The sequence below is a fragment of the Homo sapiens genome, chromosome 19 (assembly GCF_000001405.40).
Source record: "Homo sapiens chromosome 19, GRCh38.p14 Primary Assembly".
Taxonomy (NCBI): Eukaryota; Metazoa; Chordata; class Mammalia; order Primates; family Hominidae; genus Homo; species Homo sapiens.
The window spans coordinates 40,439,544-40,465,856 of record NC_000019.10 but is presented as its reverse complement, the minus strand read 5'-3'; the positions used below and the strand labels follow the sequence as shown (position 1 = coordinate 40,465,856).

Sequence of the window (26,313 nt, the reverse complement as noted above, 5' to 3'; positions counted from 1 at the left end):
CCCCGCCCCTTGACCTGAGCCGCGGGCGGAGAGTCTGAGGCGTGGCCCTTCGAGCCAGCTCCGCCCCGTTGTTCCTGGCTTGAGTAGGGCAGAGAGCACCGCCCAGCAGCCAGTGGGTTCCCGCGCGTGCCGAGACTCTGAGGCCTTGCACCCCCACGATCCCGTACGATGGCCGTCAAGAAGATCGCGATCTTCGGCGCCACTGGCCAGACCGGGCTCACCACCCTGGCGCAGGCGGTGCAAGCAGGCATGAGCCGGGGCGGGCGGGGCATGTCACGGGACAGACGGGCAGAACTTTAGGAAGGGGCACCATGGGGTCGGGCCGAGGCTGATTGGGGCCATGAGCGCCCCAGCCAGGTGTATGAGGACTCAGGGGCCAAAGCAAGTGGCCACGGGGGCAGAAATGGGGAAAGATGTGAGATCCAAGTTTATGTGAGTCCAAGCCAGAGAGGAATTGGCCCCGGGAGCCCCGGGAGGACTCCACTGGCACAGTCGTGTGTAAGTCCAGGGCTCTTATGCAATGCGGTTGTCATTATTGTGGTTGTGGTGGTGGTTGTTCGCACTCCCAGAGAGGATTTACTAAGCCAAGCTTGCTCTGTCGTCTCTTCACATGAGAGCTTTCAAAATGGGGTGGGAACTAGTATCACCCTACTTGACAGATGAGAAAACTGAGACCCAGAGAGTGACTTGCCCAATATCACACAGCTGTTAACTGACAGGACTGGGATTTGAACTCAGCTCATGCTCTTAACCACCACAAGTCCCCAGGCTGGAAACTGAAAAAGTTGGGGGGTCAGGTTGCTGCGAGTACCTAATGGGAAGGAGTCACAGAGAGACATGAGTGAAGACTTGGGGACAGCAGTCCTGGGAAAGTCAATGAGGGCTGAAAATTTGGAGTTGCCCCAGGAGAGAGGGCAGAAAAGGGGATAACCATCCCCCAGCACTCCCTGCCCCCACAGCCCAGACTTGACCAACTCCCAGCTGGGCCTGGGACTTCCAGATATGGGGCCCCACCCTTGCAGGCCTTGGGGACGCTGAAGATATTGACTATCTGCGTGCCCCAAAAGGGTGGAGGCCAACAGGACCCCACTCTGCTGTCTCCCTTGGAGGGACTCTGAAAGTTCTTCTCTAGGTCCATAACTCTCCCCTTCCCCAGGGAGACCACGTGAGGATCTTGACTTGTGGAGAATGGGGAGCTGTGGGCCTCTCAGTAAAAACCAGTTTGCTGATAAGCATTTATTCGGGAGTAATGGAGAAGGAAGTAAGAGAGAGAAGTTGAGAGGCGCTGAGTCACCTGGAAATCCACTAATTCCACCGAATTCCACTCGCCCACCCTGCTGGTCATAGCTGGGACTGCACTCAGAGGGTTAAGAACTGGAGCCTAGGGAGCTTCAGAGCTGTGGCTCTGAAAAATCTCTTCCCAGCTCTCAGCTTTGCTGTCCCCCTCAGCAAAGGGAAGGGCTGGCCAGGCACGGTGGATCATGCCTATAATCCCAGCACTTTGGGAGGCCAAGGCGGGAGGATGGCTTGAGGCCAGGAGTTTGAGACTAGCCTGGGCAACGTAGCAAGACCCCATCTCTACAAAAATACAAAAAAAAAATAAATTAGCTGGGCGTGGTGATGCATGCCTGTAGTCCCAGCTACTCAGAAGGCTCAGGTGGGAGGATTGCTTGAGCTCAGGAGTTCAAGGCTACAGTGAGCTGTGTTTGCACCACTGCACTCCAGCCTGGGTGACAGGGTGAGACCCTGTCTCTCAAATTTAAAAAAATACATAAAAAGAAAGAAAAAGAGGCTGGGTGCGGTGGCTCACGCCTGTAATCTCAGCACTTTGGGAGGCTGAGGCAGGTGGATCACGAGGTCAGGAGTTCGAGACCAGCCTGGCCAATATAGTGAAACCCCGTCTCTACTAAAAATACGAAAAATTAGCCGGGCATGGTGGCTGGTGCCTGTAATCGCAGTTACTTGGCAGACTGAGGCAGGAGAATAGCTTGAATCCGGGAGGCAGAGGTTGTGGTGAGCCGAGATTACGCCACTGCATTCCAGCCTGGGCGACAAGAGTGAAACTCTGTCTCAAAAAAAAAAAAATTAGCTGGGCACAGTGGTACGTGCCTGTAATTCCAGGTACTTGGGAGGCTGAGGCACAAGAATCGCTTGAACCTGGGAGGTTGCAGTGAGCTAAGATTGCATCACTGCACCACTGCACTCCAGCCTGGGTGACACAGCAAGATGAAAGGAAAGAAGGAAGGAAGAAAAGGAGGGAGGGATGGAGGGAGGGAGGGAGGGAAGGAAAGAAGGGAGGGAAGGAGGGAGGGAGGGAGGGAGGGAGGGAGAAGGGGCTTGGATTAACTGGAGTTCACAATGGTTCTGTAGGGCCAAGAGTCTTAACAGGCATGAACTCTGGTGCCAGCCTGCCCACATTCAAGTCACCAGCTCTGCGGCTTACAGCCTTTGTGACCAAATGCCTTGTCATCTGTGTACCTAGATATGTGTAAGATCATGACAAAACTGGTAGTACTTGCCCTAGGGCTCTTGGGATAATTAAATGAGATCTTATATAGGAGGTACTTAGACTAGCATTGAATTTTGCAGTCTCTGGATCAGACTTACTTAGGTAAAAATTCAACCTTCTCTACCTACTAGCTGTGTGATCCTGGCCCGGTTGCCTAAAATTGCCTCAGTTTCCCCATCAATGTGGACAGGATAATGATACCTACCTTGCAGGGTTGTTGCAACCTGATGCTTCTCAAACTGTGAGTTACAATGAGATCTGAAACATATGGTCACAACGTGTATCAACAATATAGGGTAACAAATGATGACATAGTATCAAAATGTATCACATGTTAAGTATTAGTTTTGTGAAACTCATTTTAATTATATATGTATGCGTTTGTGTACACCAGGTTAGGCAATGAAATTTTTTGTATTGATGGCTGATTTTTTTTTTTTTTTTTTTTTTTTTTTGAGACAAGAGTCTCACTCTGCCGCCCAGGCTGGAGTGCAGTGGCACAATCTTAGCTCACTGCAAGCTCCGCCTCCCGAGTTCAGCCATTCTCCTGCTTCAGCCTCCCAAGTAGCTGGGACTACAGGCGCCTGCCACCATGCCCAGCTAATTTTTTTTGTATTTTTAGTAAAGATGGGGTTTCACCATGTTAACCAGGATGGTCTCCATCTCCTGACCTCATGATCCGCCCGCCTCAGCCTCCCAAAGTGCTGGGATTACAGGCGTGAGCCACCACGCCCGGCCAATGGCTGAGATTTTCAAAAAGCTTAAAAAGAGGCCAGGCACCATGGCTCACGCCTGTAATCCCAGCACTTTGGGAGGCCAAGGTGGGCGGATCACAAGGTCAGGAGATCGAGACCACCCTGGCTAACACCGTGAAACCCCATCTCTACTAAAAATACAAAAAATTCGCCGGGTGTTGTGGTGCACACCTATAATCCCAGCTACTCTGGAGGCTGAGGTGGGAGAATCGCTTGAACCTGGGAGGCGGAGGTTGCAGTGAGCTGAGATTGCGCCACTGCACTCCAGCCTGGGCAAGAGAGTGAGACTTCATCTCAAAAAAAAAAAAAAAAAGAATGCCCATATTGGCCCATGCAAGCCCCTGCTGCTCCCCCATGTGTGAGGGCAGCACAGATCTTGTGTCATTCCCCTATGAAAGGTGGTCACATAGCACGGGGAGGCTGGTGCTGTGATCCTCACTTCAGAGATGAGGAAGCTGAGGTCCAATCACGGAAGAGGTTGCATGAGGTTCCTCAGCTGGTAAGTGGCAGAGCTGGAGTTTGGATCAAGGTCCCTGGGGCAGTAATGCCTGTGCTTTTGTGTTTACAAAGGTTCAGGGAGATGGCAGAAAACATGACACAGTCCCTGGACCCACAGGGTGCTTGGTTTGCTGCAGGTCAGCATAAAGAGGGCTGTGACAGAGGAAGTACAAGTTACTGGGGGGACCGGGTAAAGAGGGTAAAGGGTGTTCCAGGCAGAGGGCACAGCACGTGCAAAGTCCAGGAGGCAGGAAGCAGCACCATGCATTTGAGGAACTGAAAGAAGAGCAGTTGGGGCCGGGTGCAGTGGCTCATGCCTGTAATCCCAACACTTTGGGGGGCTGAGGCAGGTGGATCACACAGTCAGGAGTTCGAGACCAGCCTGGCTAACATCGTGAAACCCCATCTCTACTAAAAATACAAAAAAATTAGCCAGGCATGGTGGCAGGCGCCTGTAATCACAGCTACTCAGGAGGCTGAGGCAGGAGAATCGCTTGAACCCATGAGACGGAGGTTGCAGTGAGCCGAGACTGCACCACTGCACTCCAGACTGGGCAACAGAGCGAGACTCCGTCTCAGAAAAAAAAAAAAAAAAATGTGCTGTGGGTGAAGAGGGCAGAGGCTTCAGCAGAGCCTGGAGAGGAGAAGCCAGATCCCGAGGGGCCTGGAAGGCTGGCATGAGGAGCATGGGTTTTATCACAGGGCATTTCAGGCTTGCGGGAGGCAACTGAGCAGAGAGGCACTTAAATATTACTGTGGAGAACTCTGTCTGGCTGCTGTGTGGAATATGGATTGGAGAGGGCAGGACTGGGTCCAGGAGCCCAGGGAGGACCCAGGAAAGGGACCAGGAAGGAGACGTAGGCCTGGATCAGGCCAGGAGATAAAGTTGCAAAATGGTTACAAGGTGTAATAGGCCACGCTCGGTAGCTCATGCCTGTAATCCCAGCACTTTGGGAGGCCATGCCAGGCAGATTACTTGAGTCCAGGAGTTCGAGACCAGCCTGGCCAACATGCAAAACCCCATCTCTTTTTTTAATTTTTTTATTGTGTCTTTTTGGGTTTTTTGGTTTTTTATGTTTATTGTTGTTGTTGTTGTTTGTTTTGTTTTGTTTTGTTTTGTTTGAGACGGAGTTTCGCTCTTGTTGCCCAGGCTGGCGTGCAATGGCACAATCTCAGCTGACTGCAATCTCTACCTCCTGGGTTCAAGCGATTCTTCTGCCTCAGCCTCCCAAGTAGCTGGGATTACAGGCATGCACCACCATGCCTGGCTAATTTTGTATTTTTAGTAGAGGCGGGGTTTCCCTGTGTTGGTCAGGCTGGTCTTGGACTTCCAACTTCAGGTGATCCACCTGCCTTGGCCTCCCAAAGTGCTGGGATTACAGGCGTGAGCCATCGCGCCCAGCACCAGGTAACTCTTATTTCTGTGCCAGGTAGTAGCCTAAACTTTTTGTTAATTTAATTTAATTTAATTTAATTTAATTTATTTATTTATTTTTGAGACAGAGTCTTGTTCTGTAGCCCAGGCTGGAGTGCAGTGGTACAATCATAGCTCACTACAGCCTCAGCCACCTGAGTAGCTGAGACTACAGGTTGCGCCAGCACACCTGGCTAGATTTTTTTTATTTTTTTTGCAGAGACGGGGTTTCACTATGTTGCCCAGTCTGGTCTCAAACTCCTGGCCTCAAACAATCTTCCTGTCTTGGCCTCCCAAAGCACTGGGATTATAATAGGCATCAGCCCAGGAATTTGAGGTTACAGTGAGCTATGATTGGCGCCCCTGCACTCCAGCCTGGGCAACAGAGCAAGACCCTGTCTCTAAATATATATATATATATATATATATATATGTTGCTATTACAGTATACCCAAATGTTAACATCCTTTGCCAATGTTTAAAACAAAGGAAGAAATATGTTAGTTGTGAACTTTAAAATGTGTGTGTATGTGTGTGTGTGTTGAAGAGAAACAAAATTATCCAAAATTATTTTGGGAAGGAACATACTAAGACAATATTAAAAATCTTTAATGACCACTAAAGGAGGGCTGGGCTTCCCAGCAGTAAGGCTGGGCAGCAGGGGCTGGGACCAATCCCAGCACTGGTCAGTCTGTAGGCAACCCATGTCCCCCTCAGAACCTCAGTTTCTTCCAGGACCATGGATGGGAGACAGAGACCAGTGCAATGCCTGCATTAACCCTTTAGTTGTTAGAGGGTAGGGAAGTTGCTGGCTGGGTACAGTGGCTTACGCCTGTAATCCTAGCACTTTGGGAGGCCAAGGTGGGTGGATCACCTGAGGTTAGGAGTTCAAGACCAGCCTGGCCAACATGGTAAAACCCTATCTCTACTAGAAACACAAAAATTAGTTGGATGTGGTGGCATGCGCCTGTAGTCCCAGCTACTCGGGAGGCTGAGGCAAAAGAATCGCTTGAACTTGGGAGGCGGAGGTTGCAGTGAGCTGAGATCATGCCACTGTGCTCCAGCCTGGGCAACAGAGGGAGACTCTATCTCAAAAAAAATAATAATGATAGCCAGGTGTGGTGGCACGTGCCTGAACCCGGGAGGCGGAGGTTGCAGTGAGCCGAGATTGTGCCACTGCACTCTAGCCTGGGTTACAGAGTGAGATTCCGTCTCAAAAAATAATAATAATAATAAATAGAAGGTAAGGAATTTACAGGGTGTGGTGCTTGGAGGCTTCAGTTCAGATTATTTATGAATTATCATGAAGGTATGGTCTTTTTTTTTTTTTTTTTTTTTTTTTTTTTTTTTTTTGAGATAGAGTCTCGCTTTGTCATCCAGGCTGGAGTGCACTGGTGCAATCTCTGCTCACTGCAACCTCCGCCTGTCGGGTCAAGTGATTCTTTTGCCTCAGCTTCCCAAGTACTTGGGATTACAGGTATGTGCCACCATGCCTGGCTAATTTTGTATTTTTAGTGGCAATGGGGTTTCATCATGTTGTCCAGGCTGGTCTCAAACTCCTGACCTCAGGTGATCTGCCCGCCTCAGCCTCCCAAAGTGTTGAGATTACAGGCGTGAGCCACCATGCCTGGCCAAGGTATGGTCTATTTTAATAATCAGCCCAATACTAAGCATCAACTGTAGGTATGCCAGCAAAAATGTTTGAAGGCCACGGCGCAGTGGCTCATGGGGAGGCTGAGGCAGGCAGATCACCTGAGCCCAGGAGTTCAAGACCAGCCTGGGCAACATGGCAAAACCCCTTCTCTACAAAAGATTGCAAAATTAGCTGGGTGTGGTGGTGCACACTGTGGTCCCAGCTACTTGGGGTGCTGAGATGGGAGGATCAGTTGAACCCCGGAGGTTGAGGCTGCAGTGAGCTGTGACTGCACCATTGCACAGCAGCCTGGGCAAGTGAGCAAGACCCTGTCTCAAAAACAAAACAAACAAAAAGAAAAAACCAAAAATGTTTGAAGACCACTTCCCCAGAACAGAGGAGGGGATGGATTTGAGAGTTCATGGTGGCTTCTAGGACCCAGCTCCTGGAGCCCAAGAGTGCCAGCCCACTGACCAGGCTCTCTGCTCCTCTTTGCCCACAGGTTACGAAGTGACAGTGCTGGTGCGGGACTCCTCCAGGCTGCCATCAGAGGGGCCCCGGCCGGCCCACGTGGTAGTGGGAGATGTTCTGCAGGCAGCCGATGTGGACAAGACCGTGGCTGGGCAGGACGCTGTCATCGTGCTGCTGGGCACCCGCAATGACCTCAGTACTGAGCCCCCCCTCTGCCCACGGCCCTCCCCTACACCTCGGCCCCCAGCGCCACCCCCGCCCCCGGCCCCGCCCCTGCCACCCCTGCCGCCGCCGCCGCCCACCAGTGACAGCCACTCTCTGTCCCCTCTAAGGTCCCACGACAGTGATGTCCGAGGGCGCCCGGAACATTGTGGCAGCCATGAAGGCTCATGGTGTGGACAAGGTCGTGGCCTGCACCTCGGGTGGGTGGTGGGATCATGGAGGTGGGGCTGAACTGGGGGGTACTGGGGAGGCAGCCCAGGGGCCTCTGAAAGGTGACGCTGAAGCCATTCCATGTTACTGTGCATTTACTGAACACCAGCTGTGTGCCTGAACCTTACTGGGTGATGCTGGGGACACAGTGGTGACCTGTACAGCCCTGGGCCCTGCTCACACAAGGCTCACAGAGAGAGGTGGTAAACAGATCCATGATCAAACTGACATCCAGATCATCGGAGCTGGGATCGGGAGGCAGGCAGAGGGGATAGGGCCACAATGGGAGAAACTACAGGACTATGGGAGCCCAGAGGAGGCGTCCGACTTAGGCTGAGAGAGGTCAGGGTAGGCCTCCCAGAGGAAGTGATAGAGCTGTGGATAGACACTAGGTCTCTGCCCTCACAGAGCTCCCGATTATGGGGACACAGACATTAAGCAAATAGTTGCCCTGTATAATCATTTATTTATTTATTTATTTATTTATAGTTATTTTGAGGTTTGTTTGAGATAGAGTCTTGCTCTGATGCCCAGGCTGGAGTGCAGTGGCGTGATCTTGGCTCCCTGCAACCTCCGCCTCCCGGAGGTGGTTCTCCTGCCTCAAGTGATTCTCCTGCCTCTGCCTCCCAGGTAGCTGGGACTACAGGTGTGCACCACCATGCCCAGCTAATTTTTGTATTTTTAGTAGAGACAGGGTTTCGCCATGTTGGCCAGGCTAGTCTCGAACTCCTGACCTCAAGTGTGTTTCATGACACAAATTGCCTCCCTGGAAAGGGAAGTGGCATGAGGGAGGGCTGCCTGATGATTGTAATTACACTCCAGGCAGAGGACAAAGCAAGCAAAGAGGCCTGGAGGCCAGACCTAGTTGGAGGGTAGGAAGCAAAATCATTTATGGCTTTTTTCCTCAAGCTCTGAAATGGAAAAGTAATACACGAGTAAACTTGCGATTTCAGAATGGTTCACTTTTTTTTTTTTTTTTTGAGACTTTCTGTCACCCAGGCTGGAGTGCAGTGGTGCAACCATGGCTCACTGCAGCCTCAGTCTGGGTTCAAGTGATCCTCCCCACTGCAGCCTCCCAAGCGGCTGGGACTACAGGCATGCACCACCACACCTGGCTAATTTTTTGATATTTTTGTAGAGACAAGGTCTTACTTTTGTTCGCAGATTGGAATGGTCTGCTGTTAATTTTAGTTTTGTTTTTTTCTCCCATGTCTTTTTTTCTTTGAGATGAAGTCTGACTCCATTGCCCAGGCTGGAGTGCAGTGGCGTGGTATCAGCTCACTGCAACCGCCACTCCACCTCCCGGGTTCATGGTGCCTGGGACCAAGATCGTGGCCCACAGTGATTCTCCTGCCCCAGCCTCCTGAGTAGCTGGGATTACCGGCGCCTGCCACCATGCCCTGCTAATTTTTGTATTTTTGGTAGAGACAAGGTTTTGCCATGTTGGCCAGGCTGATGTTGAACTCCTGGCCTCAAGCAGTCCTCCCACCTCAGCCTTCCAAAGTGCTGAGATTACAGGTATAAGCCACCACGTCCAGACTCTCCCATGTCTTAAAAACCAATTTAACTGGTTAAGTTTTGCTTCCATGAAAAAGACAAACCTGTAAAATTGATTTAATTTGCTTTCTTTTTTCTCATTTTTTTTTGTTTAGATTGTTTTCTAAATATTAAAGTCTTAGGTGTGCCAGGATTTTTTTTTTCATTAAAAAAAAAACAAACATAGAGACAAGGTCTCGCTCTGTCACCCAGGCTGGAGTGCAGTGGCCTGATCATAGCTCATTGTACCCTTGAACCCCTGGGCTCAAGGAATCCCCTCACTTTAGCCCCTCAAATAGCTGGGGCAACAGGTATGAGCCATTGAGTCCAGCTTAACTTTTTATCTGGAAATGATCTTAAACTTACAGAAAAATTGAAAGGACACCAGTACACCTACCGTCCTCTGTTCACAGACACACAATGTTTTTTTTCTGACCCATTTGAAGTTAGCTTACATACATCATGGCTGCTTACTTCAATGTGTAGGTCCTCAATATACTTTTTAACTTTTTATTATAAAAATTTTTAAACAGAAAAGTTAATAGTCGTGTGAACAACCATATTCCTTTTCTTTTTTTATTTTTAAGTTTGTAGCTATCTATCTATTTATTTATTTATTTTGAGACCGGGTTATAAGGCTGGCTAATTTTTGTATTTTTGGTAGAGATAGAGTTTCGCCATGTTGCCCAGGCTGGTCCCGAACTCCCGGACTCAAGCGATCCACCAGCCTCAGCCTCCCAAAGTGCTGGGATTACACCTGAGCCACTGCACCTGGCCAACAGCCATATTCCTGATTTTAAAATTGTGATTGTGTTTTGTAATTGGTTTATCTATGCACATACACATACACAAATAGATTTTGTTTTTGTTCTCCTAAACTATTTGGGTTTTTTGTTTGTTTGTTTTTATTTGAGACAGAGTCTCATTCTGTCACCCAGGCCGGAATACAGTGGCGTGATCTTGGCTCACTGCAACATCCACCTCCTGGGTTCAAGGGATTCTCCTGCCTCAGCCTCCTGAGTAGCTGGGATTACAGGTGCCTGCCACCACATCTGGTTAATTTTGTGTGTGTGTATTTTTAGTATAGATGGGGTTTCACCATATTGGGCAGGCTGGTCTGACCTCAAGTGATCTGGCCTCCCAAAGTGCTGGATTACAGGCATGAGCCACTGCGCCCAGACTTCCTAAACTATTTGAAATGGAGTTGCACACCCACAGACACCTTCGGCAAGTCCCAAGAAAAAGGACTTTTCTCTTCCAGCACCACAGTGCTATTGTCACACTTTAATTATCTTCCAGCCTCTAATTATTAGAGTTTAATCTTCCCTCCATATTCAAATGTCAAGGTAAAAGATTAGAAAGATTTTTGTCATCTAAGGAGCTTGGAGTTTATCCATTAGGGCTTGGGGAGGATTGTTTTTTATGGAGGCATCTGAGAGGATTAGAAAGAAACCCAGAGTAAGGCCAGGCACAGTGGCTCACGCCTGTAATCCTAGCACTTTGAGAGGCCAAGGTGGGCGGATTGCTTGCGTCCAGGAGTGCAGGACCAGTCTGGGCAACACAGCAAAACTCCATCTCTACAAAAAAAAAATACAAAAAATTAGCTGGGTGTGGTGGTACACACCTGTGGTCCCCAATACTTGGGAAGCTTAGGTAGGAGGATCCTTTGAGCCTAGAAGGCAGAGGTTGCAGTGAGCCGTGATGGCACCACTGCACTCCAGCCTTGGCTGCAGAGCAAGACCCTGTCTCAAAACACAACAAAACAGCCGGGTGCTGTGGCTCACGCCTGTAATCCCAGCACTTTGGGAGGCCAAGGTGGGTGGATCACGAGGTCAGGAGATTGAGACCATCCTGGCTAACACAGTGAAACACCGTCTCTACTAAAAATACAAAAAATTAGCCAGGCGTGGCGGCGGGTGCCTATAGTCCCAGCTACTCGGGAGGCTGAGGCAGGAGAATGGCGTAAACCCGGGAGGAGGAGCTTGCAGTGAGCTGAGATCGTGCCACTGCACTCCAGCCTGGGTGACAGAGCGAGACTGCCTCAAAAAAAAAAAGAAAAAAGAAACTAGGGGTAAGTTAGAGACTGGATTTGAGATTGTGAACTGGAGACTGGAGGCTGCAGACAAAAACCCACTTCACACTCTGCACCGCAGTTTTCTCATCTGTAAAGAGGAAATCCTAGACCAGGCGCAGTGGCTCACGCTGTAATCCCAGCACTTTAGGAGGCTAAGGCAGGTGGATCGCTTGAGGTCAGGAGTTCGAGACCAGCCTGGCCAACATGGTGAAACCCCGTCTCTACCAAAAATACAAAAACTAGCCAGGTGTGGTGGCACACGCCTGTAATCCCAGCTACTCAGGAGGCTTAGGCAGGAGAATCACTTGAAACTTGTAGGTGGAGGTTGCAGTGAGAATGATGTCATCATAGCTCGCTACCGCCTCCAACTCCTAGGCTCAAGGGATCCTCCTGAGTAGCTGAGACCACAGGCATGTGCCACCATGCCCATCTAATTTTTAAAATTTTTTTGTTGCGACAGAGTCTGGCTTTGTTGCCCAGGCTGGTCTCTGTGACACACCTTTTTATAACCACTAACATTACTCAAACTATTTATTTATTTCTTTTTGTTGAGACAAGGTCTTGCTCTGTTGTCCAGGCTGGAGTGCAGCGGTGCAATCACAGCTCACTGCAGCCTCGAACTCCTGAGCTCAAGCGATCCTCTCGCCTCAGCCTTCTAAGCAGCTAAGACCACAGGTCCCCACGCCTGGCTAATTTTTTAATTTTCTGTAGAGACAGGTCTCACCATCGTACCCAGGTGAGTCTAGAACTGCTGGGCTCAACTGATCCTCCTACCTCAGCCTCCCAAAGTGCTGGGATTACAGGTGTGAGCCACTCTGCCCAGCCTTTGAACAATTTATATCATCCCAGTTTGCACATGAGGAAACAAGAAGCTGGCCAGTGGTCGATCCAGTACTTGACTTTAGGCAAAACCCAAGCTCTTTAACTATTCACCAAACTGCTCCTAAAAATATTTAGCATAGTTCTTGGCTTGAGGTAAAAGTTCTATAAATGTCAGCTGGTGTAGCTTGGCCAAGTTATAGCTTGTTGAAAGCTAATTCCTGAACAAATATTTAGTAAGTACCTACAATGTTCCAGATGCTTCTAAGGGCTGGGATTGGAGCAGGAAATGTGATAGAGTCACAGGATAACTCTAGCGTGTGGTGGCAGGGGAAGGGTCCTAGGGAGAAAACAAGGCCCCAAGAAAAGGGATTGGTAAACTGGGCTGGGGGAGACAGGATTTTGCAATTTTAAACAGGACAGTCAAGAAAAGCTGCATGGAAAGGTGACCTTTGAGCAAAGTCTGCAAAGAAAACAGGGAGCCATGTGGCTACGAGAGGGAAATGGCAAAGGGTCCTGGGTCACACCTGTAATCGCAGCATTTTAGGAGGTCGAGATGGAAGGATCGCTTAAGCCCGGGAGTTCAAAACTAGCCTGGGCAACTTGGTAAGACCTCCATCGCTACAAAAAAAATGTTTTTTTCTTTTTCTTTTGAGACGGAGTCTTGCTCTGTCACCCAGGCTGGAGTGCAATGGCACGATCTCGGCTCACTGCAACCTCTGCCTCCCAGGTTCAAGGGATTCTCCTGCCTCAGCTTCCTGAGAATAGCTGGGATTACAGGCATGCACCACGACACCTGGCTAATTTTTGTGTTTTTTTTGTTTTGTTTTGTTTTGTTCTGCTTTGTTTTTGAGATGGAGTCTTGCTCTGTCTCCCAAGCTGGAGTGCCGTGGCGCGATCTCAGCTCACTGCAACCTCCGCCTCAAGGGTTCCAGCAATTCTCCAGCTTCAGCCTCCTGAGTAGCTAGGACTACAGGCATGCACCACCATGCCCAGCTAACTTTTGTATTTTTACTAGAGATGGGGTTTCACCATGTTGGCCAGGCTGGTCTCGAACTCCTAACCTCAGGCGATCTGGCCTCCTCAGTCTCCCAAAGTGCTGGGATTACAGGGGTTAGCCACCAGACCCGGCCTAAAAAAATTTTTTAAATTAGCCAGGCTTGGCCGGTATCATGCCATTGCACTGCAGCCTGGGTGGCAAGAGGGAAGGAAACTCTGTCTCAAAAAAAAAAAAAAATAGTGGGGTTTGGTGGCTCACCCCTGTGGTCCCAGCTCCTCAGGAGGCTAAGGCAGGAGGATCACTTCAGCCCAGAAAGTCAAGGCTGCAGTGAGCCGTGTTCACGCCACTGTCCTCCAGCCTGGACAACAGAATGAGACCCTGTCTCAGAGAAAATAAAAAAGAGAGGGAAATGCATCAGGGGCAGAGGAATCAGACATTGCCAAGGCTGGGAGGCAGAACCTGGCTGGAGCAGAGGCGTGTAAGAGAGAGTGGTAGGCAGAGTAGGCAAGGACGTCAGAGGGCTGATGGGGCCATATCAGGTGGGGCCTTGAGGGCTGGCCATGGGGACTTTGCTTCTACCCTGAGTGAGATGGAGCTATGGATGTGAACTGATAGGGGTGTTCACGGGCTCCTTGGGAGGAGGGAAGGAGGGGCTGAGAGACCAGGGAGTAGGCTGCTGGGCTGGTCCAGGCAAGAGGTAACAGTGGACAGGACCAGGCGGAGTGAGAAGAGGTCAGATTTGGAATTATTGTGATCAGCAGACAGCTCTTACCTGGGGTGTGAGGGAAAGAGGAGCCCCAGAGGACTCCCCTGTTTTTGCAACTGGAAAGCAATGGTCAGCCATGGCAGGGTTTTGTCCTGGCATCAAGACAAGCGAGCCCTTGGCTGGGCACAATGGCTCATGCCTGTAATTCCAGCACTTTGGGAGGTGGAGGAGGGTGGATCACCTGAGGTCAGGAGTTTGAGACCAGCCTGGCCAACATGGCAAAACCCTGTCTGTACTAAAAATACAAAAATTAGTCAGGCCTGGTGGTGTGCACCTGTAATCCCAGCTACTGGGGAGGCTGAGGCAGGAGAATTGCTTGAACCCGGGAGGCAGAGGTTGCAGTGAGCCGAGATTGCGCCACTGCACTCAGCCTGGGTGACAAAGCGACACTCTGTCTCAAAAAAAAAAAAAAAAAGACAAGAGAGCCCAGGCTGATCCTGCCCTGTGTTCCCTCCAGCTTTCCTGCTCTGGGACCCTACCAAGGTGCCCCCACGACTGCAGGCTGTGACTGATGACCACATCCGGATGCACAAGGTGCTGCGGGAATCAGGCCTGAAGTACGTGGCTGTGATGCCGCCACACATAGGTAAGCAGGGCAGGGACCTGGTGGCACCAATGCCATCTGCCTGTTCCCTCCTGCCCTCTGGGGAGATCTGCAAGGCCTTCCCTGACCACCCTAAAATTGCAAACCTTCCTATGATATTGTGACATATATATTTGGCCTTTGTCCCTGTTTCCTGGCATACAACTCCTAAAATCCTTGGAATCTCCAAAATGGTAAATGTCTTTTTCTATGCTAATGAGTTCACTGAGAGCTGGCAGCCCCTAGGCAGCTTCAGGTCTGGTCACCAGAAAGACTAAGGCTGGATTACAGGGTTGGGACTTTCACCTCTGGGGAGTGGTGAGGGATTGAAGGTTGAGGGGATTACCACTGGCTAATGGTTTAATCCATTATGTCTATGGATTCTGGGGCTTCAGCCTCCTGAGTAGCTGGGATTACAGGCCTGCATCACCATGCCCCGCCATGGCTTACATTTCTAGTATGGGAGATAGAGATTAGATAGATAGATAGATAGATAGATAGATAGATAGATAGATAGATAGATACATAGGCCAGGCATGGTGGTTCACACCTGTAATCTCATCACTTTGGGAAGCCAAGACGGGAGGATTTCTTCAGCCCAGGAGTTTGAGACCAGCCTGGGCAACATAGACTTATCTCTACAAAAAAAAAAAAAAATTAGCTGGGCGTCGTGGCACACACCTGTGGTCCCAGCTACTGGGAGGCGGGAGGATGGCTTGAGCCCAGGAGATCAAGGCTGCAATAAACTGTTGCCCAGGCTGCTGTACTCCAGCCTGGGTAATAGAGTGAGACCCTGTCTAAAAAAAAAAAGAAAAAGACAAGAAAAGATAGATATTAATGGCCGGGTGCGGTGGCTCACGCCTGTAATCCCAGCACTTTGAGAGGCCGAGGCGGGCAGATCACAAGGTCAGGAGATCGAGACCATCCTGGCTAACATGGTGAAACCCCATTCTCCTGCCCAGCCTCCCGAGTAGCTGGGACTACAGGCGCCCGCCACCACACCTGGCTAATTTTTTGTATTTTTTAATACAGACGGGGTTTCACAGTGTTAGCCAGGATGGTCTCAATCTCCTGACCTTGTGATCCGCCCGCCTCGGCCTCCCAAAGTGCTGGGATTACAGGCGTGAGCCACTGCGCCTGGCTTTTTTTTTTTTTTTTTTTTTTTTTTTGAGACAGAGTCTTGCTCTGCCGCCAGGCTGGAGTACAGTGGTGCGATCTTGGCTCACTGCAACCTTTTGCCTCCTGGGTTCAAGTGATTCTCCTGCCTCAGCCCCCCGAATAGCTGGGACTACAGGCGCGTGCCACCACGCCCAGCTAATTTTTGTATTTTTAGTAGAGACGGGGTTTCACCATATTGGCCAAGATGGTCTCGATCTCTTGACCTCGTGATCTGCCCACCTTGGCCTCCCAAAGTGCTGGGATTACAGGCGTGAGCCACCACGCCCAGCCAAGTGTGTGAAAACTTCCACACCTCCCGATTTGAAAGCATTAAAGGTTTATGAATACACATAAGCCCTTTGTTTAGGTTCAATGCTTAGCATTTTATCCTGTTGTCTCTCCCTCTCTCCTCCTCTCTCTCTCTCCATGAATATATAGTTAGATTTTGCTGAATATATTGTGAAAACATATATGCATATGTATATTTGGCTTAATCATTTGAGAGGAATTGCAACATTGTCGCACTTAACTCCTAAATACCTAGACAGCCATCTCCTAAAAGAAAGATATTTGCACACAAAACATGCTCACACCTAAGGAAAGTGACATTTACTCTGTCATATCATTTAGTATCCACTCCGTAGTAAAATTTCCCCAACTGTCAGGCCAGCGTGGTGGCTCACATCTGTAATCCCAGCACTTTGGGAGGCTGAGGCGGGTGGATCTCTTGAGGTCAGGAGTTCAAAACCAGCCTGGCCAACGTGGTGAGACCCCGTCTCTACTAAAAATACAAAAATTAGCCAGGTGTGGTGGCGGACACCTGTAATCCCAGATACTCGGGAGGCTGAGGCACAAGAATTGCTTGAACCTGGGAGGTGGAGGTTGCAGTGAGCCAAGATTGCACCACTGTACTCCAGCCTGGGTGACAGAGCAAGACTCTATCCAAAAAAGAAAAAAAAAAATTCAACCCACTCTGCCCTTTTTCTTTAAGTTTCTCATAACATTAACCAGGCCAGGTGACTTTAAAGGCCCACATTCTGGATTTTTCTAGCTGTTTTGTCACAGATTCAGATTAAACATGTTGGGCAGGAATGCCACATGGGTGAAGGTGTGTGTTCCTTTTTTTTTTTTGAGACAGGGTCTCCCTCTGTAGCCCAGGCTGGAGCGCAATGGCACAATCTTGGCTCACTGCAACCTCCGCCTTCTGGGCTCAAGTGATTCTCCTGCCCAAGTAGCTGGGACTACAGGCATAAGCCACCACACTCAGCGAATTTTTGCATTTTTTGTAGAGATGTGGTTTTGCCATGTTGGCTGGTCTCAAACTCCTGAGCTCAAGTGATCCTCCCACCTTGGCCTCCCGAAGTGCTGAGATTACAGGCGTGAGCCACTGTGCCCAGCCAGGGCAGGAGCTTCCTGTCTGCTTTGTCCCAAGCAAACACACAGCCAAGGGTGTGTGTTCCATACTGTGCATAATTCCAGCCTGTCTCTGTTTGGGTGATGGTACATTGTATCCCTAAGTTTAGTTGGTTACTGTCAGATAGACAGATATATATCTATCTGACAAATATATATATATATATATATATATATATATATATATTTGTTGTTGTTGTTGTTAGAGACAAGGTCTTGCTCTGTCGTCCCGGCTGGAGTGCAGTGTCACGATCATGGCTCACTGTAGCTTCAACTTCCCTGGCTCAAGCAATTCTCCAGCCTCAGCCTCCTGAGTAGTTGGGACTACAGGGGCATGCCACTGCACCCGGCTGATTTTTGTATTTTTAGTGGACTCAGGGTCTCCCTGTGTTGCCCAGGATAGTTTCAAACTCCTGGGCTTGAGTGATACTCCTGTCTCAGCCTCCCAAAGTGCCAGGATTACAGGCATGAGCCACCGCCACTGGCCAGGGCAGGGGATTCCTGTCTGCTTTGTCCCTTGCTTGGGTGCCCAGCACCTGGCCACACAATAGGTAATCAATAAGGATTTATCGAATGAATGAAGCAAAGGATATAGATGAGCACCTGCATATGGAAAGTCCATTCTTGGCTGTGACACCACCCAGGCTGGACACACAGTAGGCACCCTGGGAAGGTCTTTCTGGGGGTCGAATTTTGGGGGAAGGGAAAGGTGTCTGCTTTATCCAGCCCCTCTTGTCTTTACTTCATAGGAGACCAGCCACTAACTGGGGCGTACACAGTGACCCTGGATGGACGAGGGCCCTCAAGGGTCATCTCCAAACATGACCTGGGCCATTTCATGCTGCGCTGCCTCACCACCGATGAGTACGACGGACACAGCACCTACCCCTCCCACCAGTACCAGTAGCACTCTGTCCCCATCTGGGAGGGTGGCATTCTGGGACATGAGGAGCAAAGGAAGGGGGCAATAAATGTTGAGCCAAGAGCTTCAAATTACTCTAGAGAAACCGACTGTGTGACTCTTCCTCTCTCTGCCTCTGTCTGAGTATTTTGGTGTGTCTGCCTGCCTCTGTGTAAGATTTGCTTGTTATGCATTCATTCATTTGTTCAGTAACAGTTTATTTTTATTTTTTTATTTTTTTGAGACCGAGTCTTGCTCTGTCGCCCAGGCTGGAGTGCAGTGGCGCAATCTGGCTCACTGCAAGCTCCACCTCCCAGGTTCACACCATTCTCCTGCCTCAGCCTCCCCAGTAGCTGGGACTACAGGCGCCCACTACCACACCCAGCTAATTTTTTTGTATTTTTAGTAGAGACAGGGTTTCACCGTGTTAGCCAGGATGGTCTTGATCTCCTGACCTCATGATCCGCCTGCCTCGCCTCCCAAAGTGCTGGGATTACAGGCGTGAGCCACTGCGCCCCGCCCAGTAACAGTTTATTGAGTCTGGCCAGGCATGGTGGCTCATGCTTGGAATCCCAGCACATTGGGAGGCCGAGGCGGGTAGATCACTTGAGGTCAGGAGTTCAAGACCAGCCTGGCGAACATGGTGAAACCCTGTCTCTACTAAAAATACAAAAATTACCCAGGCGTGGTGATGCACACTTGTAATCCCAGCTACTTAGGAGGCTGAGGCAGGAGAATCGCTTGAACCTGGGAGGTGGAGGTTGCAGTGATCCGAGATTGTGCCACTGCACTCCAGCCTGGGTGACAGAGCGAGACTCCATCTCAATAATAATAATAATAATAACTTAGCTGGGCATGGTGGTGTGCACCTATAGTCCCAGATACTCAGGAAGCTGAGGTGGGAGGATGGCTTGAAGCCAGGAGTCCAGGTTGGGCAACATAGTGAGACCCCATCTCTACAAAATAATTTTTAAAAACTTAGCTGGGCATGGTGGTGTGTACCTGTAGTCCCAGATACTCAGGAGGCTGAGGCGGGAGAATGGCTTGAGGCCAGGAGGTCAAGGCCTGGCCACTGCACTCCAGCCTGTAGGACAGATCCAGACCCTGTCTCTGAAAATAAAAAAAAGTTTGTGCTTTATTTTGAGGATTTATGCAAGGAGTGGAGCACCAGAGAAGTAAGGCAGGGGGGACAGTTGGGTGTTTTATGAAGCTTCCTTTGGCTACTCTGTGAAGGTGGAAAGGAAGGGTCCAGGAATGGAGGCTGATAGCCCAGAGGGAGTTGGAGGAGGAACTGTAAGGAGGGGAGGAGAGAGTGGGTGTGAGGAATGCCTGGGAGCCTGCGTGGACAGTTGGTGAGGGGTGGAGGGGAGGCATCAGAAAGAAGCATACGGCTGTAACCCGGGGACAGAGTTACACTAGTGCTTCAGGAGGGAGGCTGAGGCTGCAGTGAGCCAAGGTGCGCCACTGCACTCCAGCATCCACGACGGAGTGGGACCCCGTCTCAAAAACAAAAACCCAAATGCAGTAGGGCTTTCCTGAGTTGTGGACCCTATAGGAGGCGCAGGTTTTGGAGGAGGAAGGGGAAGAATTGCTCCTTCCTAATTATGTCCTTTTTTGGAACCTACTGTCCCTTTCTTTTTTTCCCAGGGACACCTTCCCTAGGCCTGGGTGAGCTAAGACACTTCTCTCTCCCTACCTCCAACCCACACCACCCACCTACCTATTCCCCTCCCATTTATCCTGCAAACATCAGGATGACTTGGTTGACAAACTCCAACCGGCAAGAACTGGTCTGAGGAGGCTTAAACCTCCCTTCCCAGAGGTGGCCTGGAGAAAACTGCCTCCTCCCCTTAGGGAAACTCGTTGTAGGGGCGGAGCATTACGGGTGTGGGCTTTCAGGACACTAGCAGTGTCTTCTTTCTGCCTTATTTTTCTGTCACATTCCTGAGCATTTAGCAAACTTTCACTGGGACCTGCTACGTGTCCAGCCCTGTGCTAGGTGATCCTGCAGACCAAGAGGTGGTTGACAGAGATATCCTTGGTACCTGCCCTCGGCGGGGCGTTCCTCAGTCCATATAGTAACTGACAGTCCAGGACTGGGATGGCGGCACAGGAGGCCATGGAATCCTAGAATGGATCCTAACCCAACCTGGACTGCCAGGGAGGGCTTCGGAGAGGAGGAAACCTTTGAAATGTGTTCTGAGAAGCAGCCTGGGAATTGAGGGTATATTTTGAGGATGAGGAAACAAGTTTAAATATCCAGAGGCGAGAAGATTGCTTGAGGCCAGGAGTTCAAAACCAACCTGGGCAACACAAGAAAACCCCCCTCCCCCCTCCCCCATCTCTCTGTCACCCAGGCTGGAGTGCAGTGGCACGATCTCGCCTTCACTGCAACCTCAACCTCCCAGGTTCAAGCGATTCTCCTGCCTCAGCCTCCCAAGTGGCTGAGATTACAAGCGTGCGCCACCACGCCCAGCTAATTTTTGTATTTTTAGTAGAGACGGGGTTTCACCATTGTTGGCCAGGCTGGTCTCAAACTCCTGACCTCAAGTGATCTGCCCGCCTCCGCCTCCCAAAGTGCTGGGATTACAGGCGTGCGCCACTGCGCCCGGCAAAAAATAATATTAATAATAAAGATCCAGAGGCCTTTTATTGTCATGTTTGCGAACTTATTATGTACCTGGCATTGTTGTAGACACTGGGGTAAAGCAGGGAAGAAAACAAACAGAGAAAATCCTTTCGTTTTCCTGATGGGGTGAATGGGAGCTTGAAGCCATTTTAGAAAAACTGGAAGTGACTCAATGGGGCAGGATCGGAGAGAACCAGGAGAACGCATCAAGCAAGGTCGTGAGGGGCTTTGTGGCAAAAGGAAGGAGTTTGAAGTTTGTATTCGGGGTGGGTAGGAAGCCATGAACAGTAGCAGAGGAGTCATCTTGATGGAGCGGGGAAGGAAAGAGGGTGTCAGAAGACCCAGGTGGGACCACCAGAGGACGTGCTGAGAAAACCTGAGGATTAAGAAGGGGCCGCGCGGTAACGTATAGGGGGCGGGAGGGGCAGCAAGGGGGCGAGGCTACGATCGCCTAGGCAACGCGGGCCGCGCCACTCTATTGGCTGGTCTTCCGCTACGTCATCCCCCGCGCCCCAGCGTCCTCCCTCGGAACCCCGGGGGCGCGGCCTCCTCCGGTTGCTCGGCCCCGCCCGCCTGCACAGCGACTTGGGGAGGGGCATGCCAGCCCCTCTGGCTCCACGGTGGAGTCCAGGCCTACCATAAAGGAACCGCAGGGAGCAATGGTGACGATCTTGGAGCGAGGACTGTAGCTGAGTGGAAGGAAGCGGTTCTGTTGGACCGGCCGCCCTCCACCCCGGAGTCGCTGCCCCGCCCCCTGCCAGTTGCACTTCTTTAAATGGCCCGGGGCGCTAGGGAGGGGTGGGCGGATCCGGCGTCTCGGGGCACGGGCGGATGGCTCCGCCCAGCCAATCGACGCCCCGCGGCGGGCGGGACTCCAGCCAATCGCGGCTCGCGGCTCGGCTCCGGGGCGGGGCTGGTGGGCCAGAGGCCAGACGGAGAGGCCCCGCCGAGGTGAGCGAGGCTCCAACCGGTCACTGGTGGGTCCTGGCACTGGCGGGTCGCAACGCTGTGGGCGTTCCAGGAGGTGGTCGTGGCGAACCTGGCAGCTGCGGTGAGGAGTGGTCGCCTGGCTTGGGAATTTACCTTAGGCTGGGGGAGAGAGAAGCGCGCCCCGGGGACTTGCGGAGGCGGGGTCTGGGTGGGACCGGGGGAGGGGGCCTCAGATTCAGGGTGATGATAGGGAGGGTCTGGGGACCTGAGACTGAGTTCAAGACCCAGGAGGGGAGGCGAGGTTGTTGGGGCAGTATTTTCAAGTGGAGGGAGTTTGAAGCTGGGACGTTGGGCTTTTGGAGAAGCGAGAGAACAGAGGGGAGGAACTTTTGAGACAGGGAACCTGGAGATTCGATTCCACTTGGGTCTTCCGGACGGGTTGAATTCGGGGCTTTATCGTGTTCTGGAAAAGGTGTGAGAGGTACGGAGCTGAGATTCTGAGTATTTGGAGAAGCGAGAGAACTAGGGTCAAGGATTCTTGGGACTCCAAGACGCACTGGCGGGGGAAGGAGGTTGCCGGGAAGAGTTCAATGTTCGGGTCTTGGAGCCGGACAGCGAGTTTGGAGGTGAAGTCCAGGGGCGTTTGAAAGTCAGGAGACTAGGAGAAGTGGGAGGAAGTATCAGAATTAGGATACGTAGTCTCCCGAACTAGATCGGAGCATTGTCGTCTTTGAGCGATGTGTTCGGATCTGGGTCTCTGGATCCAAGGGCAGTTTGGAAGGAGAATCGCGGACTTTCAAGGAACAGAGGGACCGGGAGAAAGCAAATTTAGAGCCGGAGTCTGGGGTGGGGGAGGGGTGTTCCGGGCCTGGAGCTCAGACTCGCGGCCCCGGAGGCAATGGAGGGCGGGGCTCGGCAGGCGCCGGCAGCTGGACGTCCAGGTTCCCTTCCCCCACCCGCCTGTGCCCCTGTGCGCATGCCCTGAGGGAGAGCGGGGTGAGGGGGGTGGCTCGTCCCCTGGACGGGCGGAGCCCTCTGGGGATTGTAGTGCGTGCTCGACGTCAATTCGTGTACCTGGCGGCTGTTGGCCCCCGTTTCCCAGAAGCCCCTGGGCCAAATTGGGGCGTTCCTGGATGCTCTGTAAGGACCCATGGGGGGGCGGGGCCTTACAGTGTCGCGGTCTGATTGAGTGGGACCTCCGAGGGGGCGGGGCTTGGTCTGAGCTGAGTTCTAGCAAGTTTTCCTATGGGGCGCGCTTTGGGGGAATCTGAAAGCGTGGGCAGAGGGAATGAGACAGGCCCCTTTCCTACTCTTGGGAGCGCTCCCAGTCGGTTAAGGAAGAGGACATAGAAATATCCCGACTGTTGAAGAAGAATCTCAACATAGGTTCCCCAACAGGGCTCCAGGAGATTTCGAATATAGTAGGCACTCAGTAAATCTGTTGAGCGAATAACTGGCAATTAACTCTTGATCGAGGCCGGGTGTGGTGGTAATCCCAGCTACTCAGGAAGCTGAGGCGGGAGGATCGCTTGAGCCCAGGACTTCGAGACTGCAGTGAGCTGTGATAGCGCTGCTGCACTCAGCCCTGGGCGACAGAGCGAGACCCTGTCTCTAACAAAAAACAAACACAACTCTTGTTCATTAAGCACTTCCGGTGTGGTGGGCCCTATAGATACGTGGCATCTCCTTGACAGAGGTGGTGAGAAGTATTTTTTTACAGTCCCTATTTTACAGATGAGGAAACTGAGGCCCTGAGAATTGACTCATTCAGATCACTTCCCATGATCACGCAGCTGAGCAGTTTCCAATACAGAATTCAGATTTGGGGTTCCCTACTTCCAATCCAGGTCTCTGTGCTCCACACTTGTCTTTCGTGCTCCATGTTTGAAGAAATTAATATTGTGGAAGAACAGTTTTAAGGCTTAGAGGAACTTGAGTTAGGATCCGTACTTGGCAGATGAGGAAATTGATTCTCATGGATGTAAATTCACTGTTTGAGGCCACAACAGGCAAGTAAGTGAGATTTAAATCTAGCTGTACGTAACGCCAGATCTTATTTTCTTAATCGTATATGTACTCACCTTCTTAAACTTGTAGGATTCAGACAGCCTTCATTTTATACATCAGTAAACTGAGATTCCGATGATTAAAAATCACTAACAACTCAATAGGCCTGAGAAAGTGGGATATGAGCCAGCACTACGGTGTCTGGTGTCTGACCTTCCCCTATGCGCCTCTTCTCTCTACAGGGCATCATGGTGGGAGGCTTGAAGAGGAAACACTCTGATTTGGAAGAGGAGGAGGAGAGGTGGGAGTGGAGTCCAGCAGGCCTTCAGAGCTACCAGCAAGCCCTGCTCCGCATCTCCCTAGACAAAGTCCAGCGCAGCCTGGGCCCCCGAGCACCCAGCCTCCGCAGGCATGTCCTCATCCATAACACCCTCCAACAGCTGCAGGCTGCACTTCGCCTGGCTCCCGCCCCTGCCCTGCCCCCCGAGCCCCTCTTCCTGGGCGAGGAGGATTTCTCCCTGTCAGCCACCATTGGCTCTATCCTCAGGGAGCTGGACACCTCCATGGATGGGACTGAGCCCCCTCAGAATCCAGTGACTCCCCTTGGCCTCCAGAATGAAGTGCCACCCCAGCCTGATCCAGTCTTCTTAGAAGCTCTGAGCTCCCGGTACTTGGGGGACTCTGGCCTGGATGACTTCTTTCTGGACATTGACACATCTGCGGTAGAAAAGGAGCCTGCACGGGCCCCACCAGAGCCTCCTCACAACCTCTTCTGTGCCCCAGGTTCTTGGGAGTGGAATGAACTGGATCACATCATGGAAATCATTCTGGGGTCCTAAAACTGTGATAGAGGGGATCGATCCTTCCTCATGTCATCTTCGGTGGCCTGGATCCCTGAATGCAACTCTGGGTGTGTGTTTTTGTGGGGGCTCGAAGCAGTGACTATGGCCTCCTTTGTTCCCATTTCAGGGTTCCACAAACTGTCTTGCATGTGTGTGTGTGTCTGGTTACCCCGACCTTCTGTGAAGGTGGGTCTTCCTGAATTAATTTATCTATTCCAAATGCCTTAACGAGACTCTGTTTCTGGGAGTCTGATTTTCCACTTACACATTTCTTCCACCTTTCCTGCTAGTTCCCACTCCCCTGTGACCACTGGGGCCTCAGGGAAGATAAAGAAAGCTGGGCCTGTCGAAGGATGACAGGGATGTGCTGCCAGGTTGCTATAGAAACCCAGGCTCTGCCTCTTGCACCTTGAGGGGGTGGGAGGGGCTGGTGTCCTCCCTCCAGGCTGAACCCCACTTCCTCGGCAGGACCCCAGTCTCAGCAGCCTCCTGATTTCATAACCAGGCCGGACCACGTGCAATAGGGTGGAAACCAAACTGCTCCATGCCGGGTTATTTAAAAGAAAGGCAGAGTTTGTGGTGGCTTTTTTTTTTTTTTTTGGATTGTTTGTAATTTTTTTAAATAAAAGTATTTTGGAAGGAGGGATGTTGTCTAATGTTTCTAAACTTCACTGGGTCAGTGGGAGGGACCTGGTAAGTTCCTAAACATCAGCACCACTTCCGTGCCATAGCTGGGGTAGGTGTATCATTGTACATGACATTTATTGAGTGCTTGTTGGCTGAGTGCTCTAGCTCCCACTTGGAATCCTAGCACTTTGGGAGGATCTGCTTGAGGCCAGCCTGGGAAATGTGGCGAAACACTGCCTCTACAAAAAATACAAAAAGGAGCTAGGCATGGCGGCCTGTAGTCCCAGTTACTGGGGAGGCTGAGTTGGGAGGATCACCTGAGCCTGGGAGGTTGAGGCTGCAGTAAGCCATGGTCACACCACTGCACTCCAGCCTCAGAAAAAAATTAGTGCTTGTTAAGAGCACTGTTCTAGCCACTTTATTTGAATTAAGTCTGTTAATCCTCATATAGAAGTAAGTACTGTTACCACTTTTTATACAGGAGGAACCAGAAGTTTAGAGAGGACAAGTCACTTAATTCAGAGCCACACAGCTAGGAAGAACAAGGACCAGGGAGCTAGGCTGAAATGGCCTCCAGAGCCTTGTCCTTCACTATTATAAATGTTGCTTCTTAGACTAACCAGCCACGTGGGTGGGCACAGGAGGGAGAAACTGAGTCACACGGAGTATGTGTCACTGAATGTGCTGCTGAGCCCAGAGGGGCAAGAAAATGCCCAAAGACCCCCAGTACTAAAAGACCTCTTTAGGAGAGTTGGCTAGGAAGCAGAGCCCAGATTAGATTTATAGTGCTAATGCTTTTTTTTTTTTTTTTTTTTTGAGACGGAGTCTCACTCTGTCACCCAGGCTGGAGTGCAATGACAGGATTTTGGCTCACTGCAACCTCCACTCCCGGGTTCAGGCAATTCTCCTGCCTCAGCCTCCCGAATAGCAGTGACTACAGGTGCTTGCCACCACGCCCAGCTAATTTTTGTATTTTTTTTAAAATAGAGACAGTTTCACCATGTTGGCCAGGCTTGTCTCCAACTCCTAACCTCAAGTGACCCGCCTGCCTCAGCCTCCCAAAGTGCTGGGATTACAGGCATGAGCCACTGTGCCTGACCTGTGCTGATGCTTTATTTCGGAGGTACGAGCCCAGGCTGCTGAGATACAGGAGAGGAGAAGGAGGTGAAGGAAGTGAAGGAAGAGGTAATGTGATACCTGTACAGGCTATGCCTTTACAATGGTCTTTGAAGAGATGAAGCAAGTGAGCTACACAGCATTAGGGACTTTTCTGGAAGGGCTGCGAGGAGGAACAACACCTGAGTATAGTCCATGGG

The 26,313-nt window shown here is 51.0% G+C and overlaps 2 protein-coding genes and 1 long non-coding RNA gene across 8 annotated transcripts, besides 5 other annotated features; 2 read left to right on the top strand and 1 right to left on the bottom strand.

The window, feature by feature from the left end:
* On the top strand, nucleotides 112-18,089 carry BLVRB (biliverdin reductase B). The gene is made up of 5 exons (NM_000713.3): nucleotides 112-247; nucleotides 7,312-7,476; nucleotides 7,613-7,702; nucleotides 14,365-14,493; nucleotides 17,811-18,089. Exons 1-5 carry the CDS (start codon nucleotides 169-171, stop codon nucleotides 17,966-17,968), a joined length of 621 nt encoding a protein of 206 aa, NP_000704.1. The 5' UTR covers nucleotides 112-168; the 3' UTR covers nucleotides 17,969-18,089.
* Nucleotides 919-1,038: an enhancer, noted in NCBI's record as "active region_14655". NCBI's record gives its function as "activates an Ori minimal core promoter by ATAC-STARR-seq in GM12878 lymphoblastoid cells {active_cell/tissue: GM12878}" and the evidence as "EXISTENCE:reporter gene assay evidence [ECO:0000049][PMID:35858748]".
* Nucleotides 18,090-20,593: 2,504 nt separating the features above from the next.
* SERTAD3-AS1 (SERTAD3 antisense RNA 1) lies at nucleotides 20,594-21,340 on the bottom strand. Its single transcript, NR_187496.1, has 2 exons — nucleotides 21,229-21,340; nucleotides 20,594-20,967 (listed from the first exon to the last, which is right to left on the bottom strand). It is a non-coding gene; the product is annotated as an SERTAD3 antisense RNA 1 (long non-coding RNA).
* Nucleotides 20,991-21,210: a silencer, noted in NCBI's record as "silent region_10629". NCBI's record gives its function as "represses an Ori minimal core promoter by ATAC-STARR-seq in GM12878 lymphoblastoid cells {active_cell/tissue: GM12878}" and the evidence as "EXISTENCE:reporter gene assay evidence [ECO:0000049][PMID:35858748]".
* Nucleotides 21,271-21,590: a silencer, noted in NCBI's record as "silent region_10628". NCBI's record gives its function as "represses an Ori minimal core promoter by ATAC-STARR-seq in GM12878 lymphoblastoid cells {active_cell/tissue: GM12878}" and the evidence as "EXISTENCE:reporter gene assay evidence [ECO:0000049][PMID:35858748]".
* SERTAD3 (SERTA domain containing 3) lies at nucleotides 21,522-25,013 on the top strand. 6 transcript variants are annotated; one of them, XM_047438716.1, is made up of 3 exons: nucleotides 21,522-21,642; nucleotides 23,242-23,368; nucleotides 23,771-25,013. In XM_047438716.1, the coding sequence occupies exons 2-3, from the start codon at nucleotides 23,303-23,305 to the stop codon at nucleotides 24,365-24,367; spliced, it is 663 nt and encodes a 220-aa protein (XP_047294672.1). In that variant the 5' UTR covers nucleotides 21,522-21,642; nucleotides 23,242-23,302; the 3' UTR covers nucleotides 24,368-25,013. The 6 variants fall into 6 exon arrangements, with proteins under 6 accessions (XP_047294672.1, NP_976219.1, XP_047294673.1 ...); XM_047438717.1 differs by lacking the exon at nucleotides 21,522-21,642 and adding an exon at nucleotides 21,780-22,002; NM_203344.3 differs by lacking the exon at nucleotides 23,242-23,368.
* Nucleotides 21,771-21,830: a silencer, noted in NCBI's record as "silent region_10627". NCBI's record gives its function as "represses an Ori minimal core promoter by ATAC-STARR-seq in GM12878 lymphoblastoid cells {active_cell/tissue: GM12878}" and the evidence as "EXISTENCE:reporter gene assay evidence [ECO:0000049][PMID:35858748]".
* Nucleotides 22,296-22,675: a silencer, noted in NCBI's record as "silent region_10626". NCBI's record gives its function as "represses an Ori minimal core promoter by ATAC-STARR-seq in GM12878 lymphoblastoid cells {active_cell/tissue: GM12878}" and the evidence as "EXISTENCE:reporter gene assay evidence [ECO:0000049][PMID:35858748]".
* Nucleotides 25,014-26,313: the final 1,300 nt, after the last annotated feature.